This window comes from Homo sapiens, chromosome 3, assembly GCF_000001405.40.
Source record: "Homo sapiens chromosome 3, GRCh38.p14 Primary Assembly".
NCBI lineage: Eukaryota > Metazoa > Chordata > Mammalia > Primates > Hominidae > Homo > Homo sapiens.
Window position 1 is genome coordinate 187,261,070 of NC_000003.12, and position 18,819 is coordinate 187,279,888.

Below are 18,819 nucleotides of genomic sequence, written 5' to 3' on the forward strand. Positions count from 1 at the left end.
GCAACTTACCCAAGGTCACAAAAAGCCAAGTTCAAACCCAGGTAACTTGACTTCTGGTGGGACCACTATCCTCTAACAGTTATAATAATAACTGTGTGTGGGACAACAACCTCAGGAAGAATTACACATTTGTTACTATGCATTCTGTTACTAGTCACATTCTATGGAGGATGAAATGGCGACATAGAGGCATTAACAAACTTAGAATCACACAGATAATAAGTGGCAGACCCAGGATTTAAATACAGACAAGCTGGGTACAGAGCTTGTGCTCTTAACTTCTACCTCATGCTACCTCTTTCTTTCTTTCTGCCCCTAATGTGGGTCAAGCCCTGTCCTAGGCATTTGAATGTACATTTCCCCAAAAGGGATAAACCAATGGCCAACAAGCACATGAAAAGATGTTCAACATTGCTAGTCATTAAGGGAATGCAGTTTAAACCACAATGAGGTACCACTACATACTCACCAGAGTGATTAAAATTTTTAAAAATTGACAACATCTAATGTTGGTTTAGATGTGGAGCAGCCAGAACTCTCATACATTGGTGGACAGATAAAAAATGTTACATTTGCTTTGGAAAAGGTCTGGCAATGTCTCATAAAGCTAAACGTATACCTATCCTATGACTCAGCAATTCTTCTCTTACATATTTACTCAATAGAATTGAAAACATATGTTTGCAAGAAGACTTGCACAAGAAGGTTCATAAAAACTTTGTTAGTGAGAGCTAAAAAATGGGGAGATTCCAAGTAGCCGTCAATAAGAGAATGAGTAAACATACTTTAGTATATTCATACAATGGAAAATTACTCTGCCAGGAAAAGGAGCAAATTACTGATGCATGCGACACATGAATTAACTTCAAAAACATTATGCTGAGTAAAAGAATCCTCACCCCCAAAATGTATTCTGTATGTTTTCATTTAAATGAAGTTTTAGAAGAGGCAAGAACTAATCTACAGCAGAAAAAAAATCAAAACAGTTGTTTCCTCTAAGGGAAGTGGGAGCAGAGATTGACTGGCAGGGACACAAAGGAACCCCCTGGGCTGGTGGTAAAGTTCAGTGTCTTGTTAGAGGTTTGGGTTACACACAAATACAGATTTTTCAAAATTCAACAAATGTATACATGAGATATGTATATTCCATTTTATGTCAATTTTACACAAAAAGAAAAAATGCTGTGAACAAATATGAAACTCTAGCAAAATAATATGCATGCTGAATTATTTAGGAAGAAGTATACTGATGTCTGCAATTTACGTTAAAACACTTTGTAAAAGATGAATTGCTGGATGGATAGAGGGTAGATAGATGGATAGATACGTGATAGAGCAAATGCATTAAGACATTAATGGTAAAATCTATGTGGTGCACACACAGATTTCCATCGTAAAGGAGAGGTCACAAGGCAGTTTTCATCTTCGGAGAGAGAGAGAGAGACCTGAGGATGAGTCACTTCTCCAACTTACCCACAGCCATGTAGTGGGCATCAAAGCCTGTGAAACGCTCCTCATTGGAGAAATCTGACCGGAAAGTGATGGACATGAAGGAGCCAGGGGAGAGGACCACCTCCTGGCCGGGAGTCTGCTCTGTGTCTGTGGTCTCCCTGCCACAGAAGGTTGCCAGCACCTGGTCCTCAGTTTCTACCTTTGAGGTCAAAGAGAAAGGGAACAAGATGAGCAGTTTCCCAGCTAGGCTTCTTTCCTTATCTTTAGAAAGAAAAAGGAAGGGGCCACCCAAGAGTAGGCTAGTCAGCCTGAGAAACCCAAAGAAAGGAGGTTAAGGATTCTTGAGAAAAGACGCATTACAAGTTAATTCAATGTGGACATCTGATCAGTTTCATTCGTCTTATTTAGTTCCATTAGAAGTAGCTTGATATTTGTTGTTGCTGTCAATAACCAAGCAGCTTATTTATTAAAAATAACTCAATATGAAAGTTTTAAAAAGTTAGATAACCTCGCAGACAGATTCTCTGCACAACAGGAACTTACCACATTTCCAAAGAATGGAAACTGTATACACAATATAAGTCATTCATTGAGTATCCAGTGTGTGCCTACTGCCGAGCAAAGCATGAGATGGAGGTGATGAGAGATAGACACAGTGCTGTGCACACAATAGCAGTGTTGAGATTGAGGAACACAGACACAGGCAGGTATTACACAGTGTGACAAATGCTTTCACACAAGCAGAAGCACTGCATATGCACTCAAAGCAGGCAAACAATCCACATTAGAATATAAGCTACAGGAGAGAAGGACTTTATTTTCTTTATAGATGTGTCTTCAGTGCATGGAACAGGACCTGGCACATAATAGTTATCCAATAAACATTTGTTTACAAGAACTGAAAGTACAAGCCCCATTCTGTGAACAGTGAGTAGCCAGGGAGTCTGTGGGGATTGTAGGAGGAGATGTACTTGGAAGGATACATGGAAAGAAAATTATGGTTGACCTTGAATGCCATTAATTCTGTGAGTAAGTGGAAGACACTGAAAACTTTTAAGCAGGAAAGTCATGTAATGAAAACTAATGTTTAATAGGCAGTCTTAATACAGAAACTATTTATTGGAATCACCCAAAAATAGTTTGAGTGTGTATCTCTGTGTGTACATGTTTGTGTTAAGACTTAGATGCAAAAAACATGCCTGTTTGCTAAAAGAATTCCCTTCTTTGGAAGAGCCAGAGGCCCTGTGCGAATTCAGAGATCCAAGCAGAGATCCTAAACTGGTGGCTTAAAGCTGATTTTATGTGAGACAGGAGTTTGGGAAGCTTCGTATGATAGCTAGTTGGTATATTTATTTGAGTATAAATTCTTGACGTATCTATTCGATTATCTTATACCTAATCCAATTCTTTTAAGTTGTATTTGTGTTTGCAACCTCTGGACCAAATTTTAGCCAAGATGCATGAAAAAAATCTCTTACCAAGAATGATTCCTGCTGCCTTTCAAAGTCATTAGAGAAAAGTTCTCAAAGGCGGCTATCTCTAGTAGCTTCTAATGAATTCATTGTTTTGTTCGTTAGCTTAGCATGTCAGAAATATCTTGACATTTGACACTCCTGTTTTGAAACTAATGGTTTATTTATTTAAAATAAGTGGGAGTTTCAAAGAAAAACAATTTGCCCTGGCAACAAAACGCAAGTACAATTAATCACTAACTTTGGGAATTGAAGTGTAAACAGAAGATGAGATCATGGCTTTGCTATTTATTCCTCTTCTCTGCAGATACCAGCCGAACTCACACCAGTCTTGTTACTATAGAATGTGCCTATCTGCACACAGCTGAAATGTCACTTCCTTGAACCTCCCAGCTGCTGTGTTATTTTATCTGACTCAGTTTTCCAGATAGCCAAAGCTTTACCTAACTATAACTAAAAATTTTCTTTTTGGTGTAACACTTAAAAAAAAAAAAGTACTTTAAAGAAGTACCCACTTTCTCAAGTGAAACATGCTAACCCTTTCTTGGTGATCCAGGGACATTGTTATGAATGTCAACCATTGTGATACTATATTAAAGTGATAATCTTGGGGATATTGAGTTGTGTAATGTCGCTTGACCTGGCGTTAAACATTGCCGGACTATAAAGCCTTGAACTTCTGAAGTCTTCTTTATGTCATGTTTTATTTCCTGTCTTTTTATCAGCCTATTCACTGTACTTTTCTGTCTGCTTATTTTTAATATGTTGTGAATTAGAAACCAGTTAACTGCTTTTGCTAGAACTTAATAAAAAAAAGCTAAATAGATTTAGAATGAGGGCCTGGGAAAGGGATTCTTCTGTGAGTAACTGCATGAACTAGAGTACACCATCTTGGTGACCTCTGCTTTGGAGTAATACGATATACAGGAACCTGGCAGTTGGAGGTCCTGGGTCCTGTTCCTGACACTGCCGTATTCTGCATTTTGGGCCATCTCCTTTCTAGCTCTCAGTTATCCACTTGTAAAAACAGGGGTTTGGACTAGCTGAGCTCTAGATTCCTTTCCAATTCCAGACATAGCAGTCATCATAGTCTAACACAGTTCTAACAAATCATCATAGTCATATATTATATAAACCAACCAGAAGATGGTAAGCAGGAGTTTTAACATATGCAGGATTACTGCTTGCGGATGAACTTGAATTTGTTAATAATGAATAGTCATGCCTTGGGCATTAATAGTTCCAGCTACACAGGCTTCTTTCTGGAACTTGGTATCCCCAGTGCCTCTTGGGTTCTGCAGTGACTGGGACATGAACATTTTCAAGTGAACACACTGGTCATTTGGATTAGGGAGATACTACTGAGGGTCTGTGATAAATGACCTCCCTCCTTGTAACGTCTGGGCTGAAGGACCTTTTCATAATGGCAGATAAATCAGATAAATGGTTATCACCTGCAGAGCCACAGTATTCCAGAGAACAGGAAGCATGCCCCAGCTGAGGCCCATGGGAAAATTTGAGCCATACATCCTTTTAGAAGCAGAGAAGAGAAGGCCAGTAGCCTGGGGCCCTGGGAATTCAGCCTGCAGCTCAGAATAGAGTCCTGGAATATCAGAGCTGGGCGGGACCTTTAAGAGCTATTTCTATCTGCCTCCTTCTATAGGAAACAGAGGTCAAGAGAGGGGAAGTGACTTGCTCAAGGCTGGAGAGATAACATGAACATTTTCTGATATCAGTTTTGCTTTGGGAACTATTCTGAGATGAGAGAAAAGAACCCACCAACCCAGAGAGTACATGACTAAAGACACAGACACTTGGCCAAACAATTTTCCTGGCTCAAAGGCCTCTTGAAACCTTATCTTGGGTGCATGGACTGTCTCTTAGAGAGGATGTGGCTCAGTGACAGCTCCAGTCATAACCTAAACAGAGGGGTCACTGGTCCCGGTTAATATTTGCATCCTGTGCTGTGGAATATGGAGTTCTATAAAGATCATTTACCTCTGAGTATAGGCAGATTGAGACCTAGCTTCTATTTGGACTGTCCCCTCTCAGAGGTCATCATATCAACATGATGGAGGGACCTTATCAAGTGAAGACAAAACATTCATAATAATGGAGACCCATGTGGCTGCGAATAATAAACTCTTCATTTTTCTATTTCTTCTTGTGGGCGACTATGTCCTTAGAGACTATTGTTATTTAGGACACCAACATGTGGCTGTATGTCCTCAATTTGTTTTCTTTCAACTCAATTCACCAAATATGTGTGTACTAAGTTCTGTCTACACTTTAATGTGAAGGGTGCCAAAAATTATTTATTTGTTATACGAGCTCAATAAGCAAGTTCCCTGCCTCTAGGAATGTGACACTTGGTAGAAGAATAAGATAAGTACTCAAAGGTATATGTGTTGGGGTATTCTCAGGGTATCGTAAATGCAATCAAAGATGGGCTGCCCTGGGGGTTTAAGGAATGGAAAAGATTGAATCCAGCTGAGGGAAATCAGAAAACATTTAGGAAGAAGAGAATAATCTTTGAGCTGGAGACTGAAACGTGAATAGAATGTAGGCAGGTAGAAATCATAGATGGAGGGTAGGGGGTGGGTAGAGTATGTAGGGAGAGGAAATAGTGAAGGCCTGGGGTATTCAAATCTCAGCTGCTCCTCCCCACTACCCATTACCTGGCGTCAGAAAGGGGCTCTGTTAAGGACAGAGAGCTGGGAAGGCACATCTGATAAGGAGAAGCCAAGAGGCTTTGGTTTCTATGAGTTTTCTACCTCAGCAGAAACAGCACAAACCTGCTAGGCAAAACTATGGCAGGGCAGCTGGGATTGGCCAAATTTCTGTGGAAGGACAGCTACTCTATGGAAGAACAGCTACTCTATGGGAAGACAGCTACTCTATGGAAGAACAGCTACTCTAGGGAAGGACAGCTACTCTCGCTATGTATGGCTGCTCTCTGCATGTCCATAAATTCATTACATCAGCTAAACAAATGCATTGACAGCTACCAACTGGCTCCTCAAAGCAATGTATAGAGAAAGCAGCCCAGGGGGGATTGCTCTCCTTTTATAGATGAGGAAATTGAAGCCCAGATAATTTGAACAAATTGGGCAAGGTGACTGGTGAATCTAGTGAGTGGTGAATGAATCTCATGATAAATGAATCTAGTGAGTGGTGGATCCAGGTCCACAATTGCAGCATCCTGATTCCCTAGCCAGTGCTCCTCAAGACATTAGGCAAATAAACAAAGGCTGTCTTATAACCCAAATGCCTCATGACTTTGTTTGTCAATGTTCCCGAGCTATCTCCTGGAGCCTTTCTGAAATCTGCTCAGGGCCCTTGAGGAGCATTGCAGACTTAATTTAGGCAGACATTTAGGGAGTATGCTGGATTACCCTGTTGCCAGTTTAGTTAATCTGGGAGCTACGTTCCCCAGACTTTCTTTCCCTGTATAGTTCTAGATTAGAGTTGGCCAAAAGAGGAATTTGTGCAAGTTTGAAAGGCAATAGTCATTACTCACTGAAGGCTGTTTTGTAATCACATACAGAGAAAGAAATGTGTAGATGTGTCCAACACATCCTCACTTGCTCTCACGTTCCTCTACTCTGCACCCGGCTCTTTATAACTACTGGCTCTGATGACCAACAGTGGCCCATGCCTATCATCAGATACTTTCAGGTGAAACCACAGAGGTGGTAGCTGCTTACAGCCAACAGCTTCTCAGAGACCCTTTTCCATGAGCCTCCCCTTCATTGTTGCACTTTGGCCCCTTAGGTAGAATTGACTTATCAGATTCCCTTGCAGATGCCAATATTTCCACCCATGCCAGGGCTTTAAGAGAACTGCTTGGTGACCTTTTCTCTAATCCTTTAAATCCCCATTTCCAACTTTTACTTGCCCAGCTCCTTCTATAATTACGAGTTCTAATACCCATAAATATTCATTATCTCACATTACTCATAAAGACTTTGCTTTCCTGATTGAAGTCTGACTGAAATAGTTATTGATACCAGAAGTAGAATGCTGCAGTAACAAAAAACTAGAATATGTGGCTTCAGTTTTAGGATTGGCTAGCAAGTAAATTCTAGAAAAACAGTGAAGAGACTGCTATAGGAGTCTAAAACAGACCACTTGAATAATGCAATGGTGAATCAATTGGCAAAACTTGTCTGCGGCAACTTAGAAGGTAGAAAAATGTATGTAATGGGCAAGGTGTGATGCCTCATACCTGTAATCTCAGAAATTTGGGAGGCCAAGGTGAGAGGATCACTTGAGCCCAGGAGTTCAACACCAGCCTGGGCATCATAGCAAGACCCTGTCTCTACAAAAAATACAAAAATTAGCCAGGTGTGGTGGTGCGGCATGTGCCTGTAGTCCCAGCTACCCTGGAGGCTGGGGTGGGAGGATCACTTGAGCTTGGGAGGTTGAAGCTGCAGTGAGCCACGATCATGCCACTACACTCCAGCCTGGGCAACAGAGGACAGAGCGAGACTCTGTCTATGAAAAAGAAAGAAAGAAAGAGAGGAAGAAAGAAAGAAAAGAAAAGAAAAGAAAATAGAAAAGAAAAGAAAAGAAAAGAAAGGAAGGACTGTATGTAGTGAACTTGCATATCTGGCTAAGGAGATCTCTAGACAGAATGTTGAAAGTGTCAGTGTGTACTTCTGGTTGTGTATGGCAATGTACTTCAGGAAGAAGTAAGTCTTCAATATGTGAGCAGAACTTAGAGGAAATATAGAGGGCCCAGAACTAGCTGGGTTGGAAAACAGTTTATCCACTAGTAAAAGATTTTAAGGCCGGGTGTGGTGGCTTACGCCTGTAATCCCAGTACTTTGGGAGGCCAAGGTGGGTGGATAACAAGGTCAGGAGTTCGAGACCAGGCTGGCCAACATAGTGAAGCCCCATCTCTACCAAAAATACAAAAATTAGCTGGGCGTGGTGGTGTGTGCCTGTAGTCCCAGCTACTCAGGAGGCTGAGGCAGAGGAATTGCTTGAACCTGGGAGGCGGAGGTTGCAGTGAGCTGAGATCATGCCATTGCATTCCAGCCTGGGCAACAGAGCAAGACACTGTCTCAAAAAAAAAAAAAAAAAGATTTTAAAACCAAAAATGGCTTCAGGGTAAATGTCAAATCAATGGTGTGACTGTAAGAATCATTTGTTAAGACCTAGAAGATTTAAGGCAGTACCCAGTACTCCCTATCAGCCAGACCACAAGGCACCTAAGAATCTTAAGAGCATTATTCTGTAGCACCCTGACATGCCCTTCAAAGTAGGAAGACCTATTTTGAAAAGAATTGTGGATATGTTTTTCATCTAGTGGAGTGAACTATATTCTGCTACATTGGAGACCCAAAAAGATTTTAAGGGAGCTATATCCGCTTGGACTAGAAATGACTGTGGCAATTCAAAATGAAAAGAGGCTCCTGAGCCTCAGGTTTCTATGTACAGAAAGCGAACTGAATAGACTACTCAGCTACAAACATGGGCCATTTCTTACAGAAAGGAAAGAATGTCTCAGAAGACAAAGCTAAGAAGCCAGAGGCAGAGTCAAGATCAGAGGCAAGAGCCACTCTCACCACTCCCAGAGAGCAATGGACTGGGGATCCACTCTCACCCCTCCAAGGAAGCAGAACTGGGCTCTAATCAAGGAACATTCTTGGTATCTGGAGTTGGCAACATGTGCCTGGCTAAATTTCAGAATTACTATGGAGCAGTAATTGCTATATGCCTCTCATTTTTTCCATTTTTCAATGGAAATTCTATTGTGGTTATCTTATTCTTCTCTCACCAAGACAAGGAGATATTGAGCATGTGGAGAGCAAATAACTTTTCTTTTGGGTTCAGAGATCTCTAGATCAAGAAGAGATATACTTCAAGAGCTATACCTTTGTGTGTCATCTAATTCTAGACATGATTTAGATCATGAGGTCCTGGAGTTCAAGCCTGAACGGCTAATGGGATAAAACTTTGAGAGAAGGGGCAAAAGCACATTTCACATATGCAAAGGACAAGAATTATTTTGTCCCTAAGATAGATAATAATACATTGTTTGCAAAAATTATTCACAATACTTTCTTCCATTTCTGCACACAGATAATTCTGCAATGTAACTTCACTGCTCATTGATTGGCCTAACTTGGTCTGACAACAAGTATACGATGCGTTAAAAGCAGTATACTATTTCCAAATTTAGGCCTCAAGGGACCTTGCAGCTATTAACAAAGATTCTTTGCTTAGCCAAATTTTAGTCAGGCTTCTGAAACGTCTCCTCAACTCATCTGTGCACTTCCTTGTAAAACTCAGTTTTAGCAAAATCTTTGCTGAATCAGTGCAGCAAGAACGCCCCATCCCTGAAATCTTTTCACCCTAGAGTTCCAATTGGGATCTTCATCCTCCACCATCCCCACGGGTGCTGTCTGATCATCTTGGCCTGTCACCAGCAAGAATCCTGTTAGGTCATTTTAGCTAGAACCCCTCTTACCCCTGATGTTTCCCATTAGTAATTTAACATCCACTGACCACCACCATGCTCCCTGGCTATAAATCCCCACTTGCCCATGCTATACTCAAAATAGAGCCCAATCTCTCTCCCTCACTGCAAAAATCCCATGCCGTGGTCCCTATCCTTTTCATCCCTGTCCTGAATAAAGTCTGCCTTACCACACTTTAACAAGTGTCATTGAATAATTTTTTCTTTAACACTTTCACATGTGGAATACTGCCCTGAGGCAACTGTGTGAAGAAGCCCTGTGAGGCCATAGGGCTCAGCGGCCACATAGGGCAGAGATGAACCATCTGATTAAAATGTCTAGACCAATTCACTGGCATTCACTATCAGCTACCAGATGAGAAACTAAGGCCAAAGATGACCTTCAGACATGCCTCTGAACAACTGTAGCTGCATGAAGGACCTCAGGCTAATCCAGCAAAAGGACCATCTCATTGGGCCCAGCTCAAACGCCTGACCACAGAATCATAAGCAAACAAAATGGATATTGTTTTAGCTGCTAAGTGTTGGAGTGGTTTATCACACAGCAATAGATAACTTTTATAGCAAGTAAGAAAGTGATTTGGGACAAAGAATAGGCTCACGTTTGTAAATTGAAATTTGGAGAACCACAATCTCATGGGTTTCTGGGGCCTCAAAAGTCACCTAGTCTAACTTATTATCTTTTTACCACACCCTTAGCAAATATCATACCACCTTTTCACTATCAGCTGCAGGGATGAGAAACTCAGTATCTTCCAAGATAGATCAGGCTGTTTTGGATTATCCTTGACTTTGAAAGTTATCTGTTGGTTCCATATCTGGGAATATAACCTAGGGAAAAATATTCCAAATGTGGAAAAAAACTTTTATAAACAAAGATATTTATAGCAGTCATATGATATTAGAATATTAGAAATAACTGTAAATATCCTTTTCTAGAGAAATAAGTTAGCATTAACTTCTAAATACAAGGCAGCCATTAATTATCACATTAATCGAGGGTTTATAGCAATATGGAAATATTCTTAGGAGGCAATATTAAGTGAAAAAGCAGAAAAAATAGTATATATGGTATAATTATACCTATGTTGAAAGTACGCATTGAAAATAAAAAGTAGAAGGAATTAGAGTAACTGTTAGCAATGGTTAGTGGAACTATAGGTAATTTTTCTTTTTCTTCTCTTTTTACATTTAAAAAGAAACTTGAGCTCAAAGCTGCTTCCCTCTAGCTTCCACCCCATGGTATAAAATTGGTTAATTCCAGTCAACAAACAAGGGGAGCACACAGGAAGGGCAACTTAACTAGCCTGGAAGTGCAGGGTCATTCATCTGCTATCACCCTCCTCCCCCCTTGTCTTCCCTTCATCACAGAACATGGCGTGGGAACTCCTCAGCACTCTGTCACCTCCTCTCATTTCTCTAGCCCTTGGGTCGCAACAGAGTTGAAAAAGAGATCTTTGCTTCATAAACAATAAGGTGAAAAGTAAAATTCTGAGAAAATATCAAGAAACTCAGAATACCTAAAACTCACAGATGGCAGCGTATGGCAGGGAGGGTCTCATGTCAGGGGACAGTTTTTGTGACTGTGAAGTCCAAGGAGTGAGTAGGTGGGTGTAAGTGGATGGCTAAGGGGAGAGAGAAGAGTTTCTTAGTCCAGAGTTCATGAAGACCTAAAGGACAGGAAAGGGAGAGAGACAGAAAAAGAGAAGAAAGACAGATCTTAGATGTTCAAGAAAGGTTGCAATAAGAACATCTGTGCCCTTTGTTGACTTCTCAAGAGTGAGTCAAATTGTGAATTGTTTTCAATTTGTTAGGTTTTCTGTTTCTTTAGGATGCAACGCCTTACTTATTGGGGCATCTCATTTTTATATGATCTTCTCCAATGATTAGATGTTGGAAAAATTACTTAAACTCTCTGTACTGTAGGGTGAATTGTGTCCCCCTAGAATACATGTTCAAGTCCTAACCCCTGTTTCTCTGCATGTGACCTTATATGGAAACAGGTCTTTGCAGATGTAATCAAGTTAAGATGACACTACAAAGGGTTAGAGTGGACCCTAACCCAATGACTGATATCCTTATAAGAAGAGGGAAGTTTGGACACAGAGACACACACAGAGGGATGACAGCCATGTGAAGACAGAGGCAGAGATTAGAGTTATGCTGCCACTAGCCAAGGAGTGCCAAAGACGGCCCGCCTACAACTGCCTATTCTAGAAAGCTAGAATAGGCAAGGAAGGATCCCCCTCTGGAGCCCTCAGAAGGAGCATGGTCCTGCAGACACCTTGATTTCAGACTTTTCACCTCCAGAACTGCGTGAGAACAAATTTCTGTTGTTAAGAAATTTAACAACTTAAACAGCCACCTAGTTTGTGGACATTTATTACAGAAGTCCTAGGAAACTAATATTCTCTGTATATAGTTTTTCTCATATGTAAAATAGTGAAAATAATCCTATTTATATTACAGAACTGTTGTAAATAGGATGGGAGGTGATATACATAAAACACTCAGAAAAGTGCCCGGGATACGTTGAGCACTCAGTACATCAATGAGAAAAACAGGACTGCTGAGATCCATCCACCAACTGAGATGACACGTTCTGGCTCCCAGCTAGTGGGGCAAGGGTCACTTCATGCATTTGGAGAACATTAAGAAGCTGAGATTGTCCCTGGATACTATTTCTCCATTTCACTCCTTTCCTAATCTCGCTGAAGCCATCAGCAGTGGTTTCCCCTTTTGTGAGGATTCACAACCCAGGCTGATAGAGCTGGAAGGGCACCTAGAGAGACCTCCCAGCCCAGCCTCCTCCTCTGGCAGGTGGCATATTAGCTGTTTGGCTCTTTGCACTTTACAAAGCCTTCTAACAGTCCTGGGGCTGAGAGACATCAAAAGGGTACTCTTAAGTTATGAAAGACGATCAGAGCAAAGTGAGGGATCTCTAAAGGCTTCTGTCCACAAGAAGATGGCATTAAGTCTAGGAATTTCTCTCTTTACTTTGCTGTGCTTCAAAAGATTTTCCTAGATGCGTGAGCCGTAGGCCAATGATTCACCGACAGCCCCGGGCTGACTCCTGCTCATTGTGCGAGCTCGGTACTCCTGAGCTCACCTTCACGGAAAGTCCATCACTCCCAGCTGCTGGGCCAGTGGTTAATGGCCCAGTCCTGCTACTTCACCAGGTAGCTTTAATTTCAGTCAGTGATCTGAGTAGAAGCAAGTTAAAGGCACCTGATACCAGATAGAAACTTGGGTCTAGAAACGAAGGAGGCATCTGGTATGTGTTTGCATGTGTGTGCTGCACTTCAGAAACTCTTGAAAGCCATGTAAAGTAAAAATAACACAGCTGGCAGATCTAAGCTCAAGTTGACTTCAAATGAGAGGTTCTGGAGGTTGATGCTCCAGTCCTGGCTCAAGTCTTTCGGCCATAAAAAAAGAGTAATAATAATCAGCCAGGCACCTTGGCCCATGCCTGTAATCCCTGCATTTTGGGAGGCCGAGGTGGGTAAATCATGAAGTCAGGAGTTCAAGACCAGCCTGGCCAACATTGTGAAACCTTGTCTCCACTAAAAACACAAAAATTAGCCGGGCGTCCTGGCGGGCACCTGTAATCCCAGCTACTCAGGAGGCTGAGGCTCAAGAATCGCTTGAACCCGGGAGGTAGAGGTTCCAGTGAGCAGAGATTGTGCCATTGCACTCCAGCCTGGGTGACAGAGCGAGACTCCATAAAAAAAAAAAAAGTAATAAAAATAATGATGATGATAATAATTCCTTGTTCTATGTGGAACTTTCCAGTTGACAGGGCACGTTTACCTTCTCTATTTTATTTGCTCCTAATGGCAGTCATGTAGTGAGTGCACTTCAGGGAGACAGTTCTGAGTCCATGGAGGTGACATGACTCCCCCAAGTCCACATAGCCTACAAGTAGCAGACCTGAGACAACATCAGGATGTTCTGACATCCAGGTTTGGCTCAATAATTGGAATCACACAGCTGATAAGCCACCTGCCAGAGCAAAGGTCAGAGCTGAAAAGAACATGAAAAGACCTCAAGTCTATACCTGGCGGAGGAACAGACTTGTTCAAAGTCAGTCAATGGCAGAGCCAGTACTGGGGCCTAGGTGCACTGCTCTTTCCAGGATGGTGTTCTTATTTGTTAATTAGGGTGAAAACCTCCTAACAGAGCTGAGTGAGCCCCTAAGCAGGTATTGTGTACATGCAAATGCTTGGCGCCATAAAGAATGTGGGGGCCTGAGAAACAGCTGGTGGGGGCCAGAGAAACAGCTGGCAGGTCCTAAGAGTCCAAGAATCCCACTGCTGCCAGGAAGGATTGCCCATTCTCGGGAGGGCTCTGGACAGAAAAGGGCAGCATGAGCAGAGGGAGAAGAAAGAGCTGGCAGGGGAGGGGTCCTGCCAAGAGCCTGGGAAGCGGGCATCCCGCAGGTGGGAAACCAGCAGTGCCCACCGTCTCAGAGGGAGCTGGGCTTGGGGGGTGGGGTGGGAGGGAAGAGTCTGGAATTGTGTCTGGGAGGGAGAGCCAGGGAGGATTGGCACTGTTTGGCCTGAGAATGGCTCAGACTCCCCCACCTCACCCCTTCTGGGACTCCAGAGCTGAGCTCATTCATATGCAAATCCCTTCAGCAACTTGGAGGCTGGGCCCCAAACAGTTCAGGACGGGAAAATAGCCTGAGGATGGGAAACACAAAGGGTTGCTGTGTTCTTCTGCGGCAGAAGCTGCGTGGCTCCAGGTGTGTCATAGCCAGGACGTGGGTGAAGGCAGTGATGAGGCTTGTGCTGAGTGGACAGAAGGGGCCGCCTTGGGCCAGTGTCTTCCAGCAGAGTTTCAAGGATTGTGAGCTGCTGTGTTCCTGTGACACTGCCCAGGACCTTGCCCTGACTCAGGCTAAACTTATATCCTCAAATCTTTGCACAGAAATCCTACAAGAGTGCTGGAATAAGGACCAACTGTCATAGCTCTGCCACTCATACCTCAGGGGTCACTTAAACCTCCCCAGGCGGTAGGTGTGCTGGAGCCGGCAGCTCACACCAGTTTATAAGAGCCAACTGTCAGCTTTTCAGAGATTTTGCTACCCTGTTGTTAAATCCAGCCATCATCAAGTTTCATAAACTTAAAATTAAGTACATTCTATTAGAAACCAGTTCTATGAAAACCAGTTCTGTGAAAACTCATTACTTCCTAATTATGTGATTGTTCTATGCTCTATGCTCTGCGGGCTCTCTGTGTCTGTGCTATCTGAATGTCGAATGATAAGCCACTGCGCATCTCTTTGCCCCCATTCCCTGCCCCCACCCCCCAATCTGGTTGTTAGCACCCATGCCCCTGTCTCCAGGGCACAGTTTTCACAAACGTAAAAAGTGGACATTAATACTCTGAGCATCAGGTCAAATGAGATTCGGGGCATGAAAGCAGCTTGTAAAGCCTGCCATTGGCTGGCAGCATTTAACAGGAACCCTGTTTTCCAGTCTCCCATCCCGCCCCCCATCTGTACCTCTCAGTCTTCATTCATGTTCCTGCCCTCCAGCCACACTGCCATCCTTGCTATTCTTCAAACACACCAGGCACTTTCCACCTGAGGGCACTGAATGTTCCCTCTGGTTAAAGTGCCCCCCAGGGTAGCCCCCCCAACAAGAAAGCCACATGGCTAACCTTACCTGCTTCAAGTGTTTGCTCAAATGTCACTCTCTCAATGAGCACCATATTTAAATCAGAGCCCCCATCTCAACTCATGCAGAGCCCTGCTCTATTTTATTTTTGTCCATAAACTTATTACTTAGTACATAATTTAGTTATGTATTATGTTTAGTGTTTATTGTCTGTTTATCCCAGTGCAATGTAAGCCTCACTTCAGAGATTTCTATCTGTTCTAATTACTGCTGTACCCTAAGCTCTAATAAATTGTAGGCACTGGATGAATATTTGTTGAATAAATGAATACCTCTTCGTCCCTTAACTTTTCCCTTTATAAGCACATCGAAGTAAAGTCAGGCACTGCTCTTCACCAAGGTGTTTTCAACAGCAACCTGTAATATACTCAAGCACAGAGATATGCACCCCATGTGCACCCACACCTGGGACCTTCCCAGCTCACACTCACCCACATGCTCTTCCTCAGCACTGCGAGCTTCCTTTTGTTTTCCATCACCCTGAAGCCTGTGCTGTTTGCACTTTTGGCATAAAATGAGCTTTCATTACACTTTCCTGAAGCAAGCTCATTTTCATTTTCTAATTCTTCTGAATAAGCTAGAATTGGTGTTTGGGTCCTGGTGTCTCTGGAGTGGGAGAATTCCACCGGAGACTACAATTGAAATTCATGAGAAATGTTTACCCATTTCTCATTTCCTTCTGGGGCCAAGGCCTCCTGTCCACTCCCAGAGAATGAGCAGAGTTATGCAGTAGGTGAAATGAGTTCAGCCGGAAGGTCGAGGGCATGTTCTAAGTAAACACAGAGCATTGCACAGAAATTAGGAGCTTAGGGGTCAGAAGAGTCCCACTTGGGAGCGACTTACCTCTCAATTACACAGCAGGATGCAGACTGACCCAATGTGGCCTGAGGGAAGGGGCATTGGACTGGGAGTCACAGACCATCAGAACTGGAAGGGTTTGGAGAGGCCAGCTGGTCCAGTTCCCTCATCAGGCAGATGGGGAAACTGAGGCCTTGAATGAAGACGTGACTTGCCCAAGCTCTCAGCAGGAGTCAGCAGCTGTTTTCTAGGCCAGAGCCCTTTCCACTGCCAGGAGACATGTGCCTTTTCCTGTTCTGCCCAGGACTGTGCTTTCTACTGGAGAAAACACAGACATAGGCCCTGAACTCATGGGGCTGGCAATCTAGTGGGAATGAGCTTGAGCTCATCAGAAAGGATGTACTACAAGCAGATGATACAAGCACTTGCAGATTCACTGTAGTTCAGACTCCATTTTCTATTATTTTTAAAAAACATTTTTTTCTCTCAAAGGATAAAAGAGAACGTTATTTAAAATAATCTAGACAATATAGGGACCCTCAAGGACCTTCTGTTTTACTAAATTTTATGAAATCATCTTGACAAATAGAGTATTGTTTCAGGAATAATGCATGGCCAGGAAACACAACAGGACCCCTTCCACAGTAAAGCCTGTTCTGAGGAAGGCTGCATGGAGACACAGAACCATGACTTGGGGAGTTAGAAGAGCAGGGATTCAAGCCTGGCTTTCCTGCAGAGACTTGAACAAATTCACTTGTACCTGTTTCCTTTTTTGTAAATTAGGTGCAATAATCCGTGCTCTTCCTATTCCATGGGAATCAAATGAGTTAATAGATTAGAAACTGCTGTAAAATGTGTGTTTCTACAAGGTAAATACAAAGGAGAAATAAATAACCTCCTGCTTTCGAATAGTGCTTTGGAAGCACTTTTCCATAAATTGCTAGAAAAAACTCAGTAACATTAGCAAGGTCATACATAGGCAGTCAGTGGTAGGGTCAGAGTTGATAAGAAAACTGACATTCATTGAACATCTGGTGATACCAGGCAGACACTTTATTACTCATACCATTGCCTTCATTACCACTATAATAGTACTTTTGAGCTAATTAGAGATGTGTTGGACATATGACATTAAAGCATTTACTTCATTTGGCATTCACAGTAAGTCTATGAAATAAGCATCATTATTATCTCCATTTTACAGATGGAGAAGAAAATCTTAGCAAGGTTAAGCAACTGCTCCAGTAAGAAGTGGAGGCAAGACTTGACGCTGGGTCTGAATGACTCCAAAGTTTGAGCTCCCAACCACTGAGCACAACTGCGTTTTGCAGTACTGATTCCACTTAGACCCTCATGTCATTCAAATCCTCCCACAACCTGTGAGGAAGACGTTGTATTCATTAGGAACTCTTCCTTTCAACTGATGACAAAACCATTGCTGAGGGAGATCAAGGAGCTTCACCAAGGTTCCTCACTCAGATGGTGGCAGAGACAGAATTTAATCCTCACTGTGTTAATCCTCTCTCCATCACTGTCTCTGTGCTCTTTCTACACCCACTCTTACGACTCTTTAAGCTCTGTCTCAAAATTTAGACCAGCATTTCCAGCTGTATTCAAAACTCAATGCACTTCAGTGCACTCTATATCTTTCTAAATCTACACATCTTCACGTTCCTGATCTCAATTTCTGGGTAAGTAGCCAATAAGTTGTCATAACTGGGGCTTAAAGCCTCTGATTCCTCCTTTTTCCTCTCCCATACGCAGCCAGTTCCTGTGGAGTTTACCTCTGCACATCCTACCTGCTCTTCCATAGCTGTCCAGGAGGCCTGTGGGCTTTCTTGAAGTATACTACGCTCCACATAGTCATATCCAATCTATTTAGCACAGCCACCTAAATGGCCTCATTCAGCAGCTCCAGTTTATTTTGACTTTACTAGTCCTTGACATCCCTCATGTAGCTCCAGATTAACCTTCCTCAAGCATACCCTCGACTGTGTCACATCCCCGAACCCCACTGCCCCACCCCTCCGCCACATCACAGCTTCTAATTGGACGTCCTAGACTAAAATGCTAAAAGATGCCAGGCAGAAAACATAAATGAGTGAAACAAGCTGCTATGAATTCTTTAGACAGAAATATACACTTTGCGTGTTAAATACAGAGGGATATTCTTCACTCTGCAAAGAAATTTTTCCTGAAATACGTGTCTTTCTCAAGAACTTTCAACTTTTCTACTTTTGATAGAGACACTGGGGAAAAATGATTCACTTTCTTTACTGTAAAATCAGCAATGGTGCCATTAAGAGGCCAGAAAGCATTAGCATGGGGGAGCTATAGAGAATGGTGGGGACCCTACCCACAAGGCCACCTCTTCCTGGTGTTGGCTGATTGTTGAAGGCAGGAAGCTGCAAGAGTTGCCAGATTTTCTAATATTCTAAGAGAACTTGGAAATGCAGATTGTTGTGTGAGATCGGAAATTTTATGTTGTCATAATTCTTTCTTTTTTTTACACCCCCAAATCATAGTATAAGTTAATATTAGGCTGGCCAACAAAATCCATCTGTGAAATTAATTCAACCTTTGACCACACGTATGTGATTTGGGGAGCACATGCTTAAACCCAAATTTACCAAACATTTCTCAGTTGACCCTCAGATAACCTTTCTGGGCTTTACGTCTCCCCAAAACATGCCAACTCTGATTATTCTCAGTTTTGCATCATTCCCATCCTCTTCAACCTCCCTGCTTTGATGGTAGCTCTGCTAAGAAATCCTACTTAGAGAACTGCACTGCCAAATTATTATTTACCTCTAAAGACTAATCTCAAACATCAACTATTTCCAAAGCCCTCCCTGGCCATCTAAAAATGACCACTCCCAAACTTATATACTGACTGATAACCCTTGTGTTACTTTGTCTGGCTTTATTA

General features: G+C 42.5%; 1 protein-coding gene across 4 annotated transcripts in view; it reads right to left on the reverse strand.

Moving 5' to 3' along the window:
* Positions 1-18,819, reverse strand: part of MASP1 (MBL associated serine protease 1) — a 74,456-nt gene that overhangs the window by 43,788 nt on the left and 11,849 nt on the right. For all 4 annotated transcript variants that reach the window (NR_033519.2, NM_001879.6, NM_139125.4 and 1 more), the window contains one exon: positions 1,474-1,651. Coding sequence is in view for 3 of the 4 variants with exons in the window: in NM_001879.6 (NP_001870.3) it covers positions 1,474-1,651 (178 nt within the window). In the remaining variant the exon portion in view is untranslated. The remainder of the gene's footprint in view (positions 1-1,473; positions 1,652-18,819) is intronic.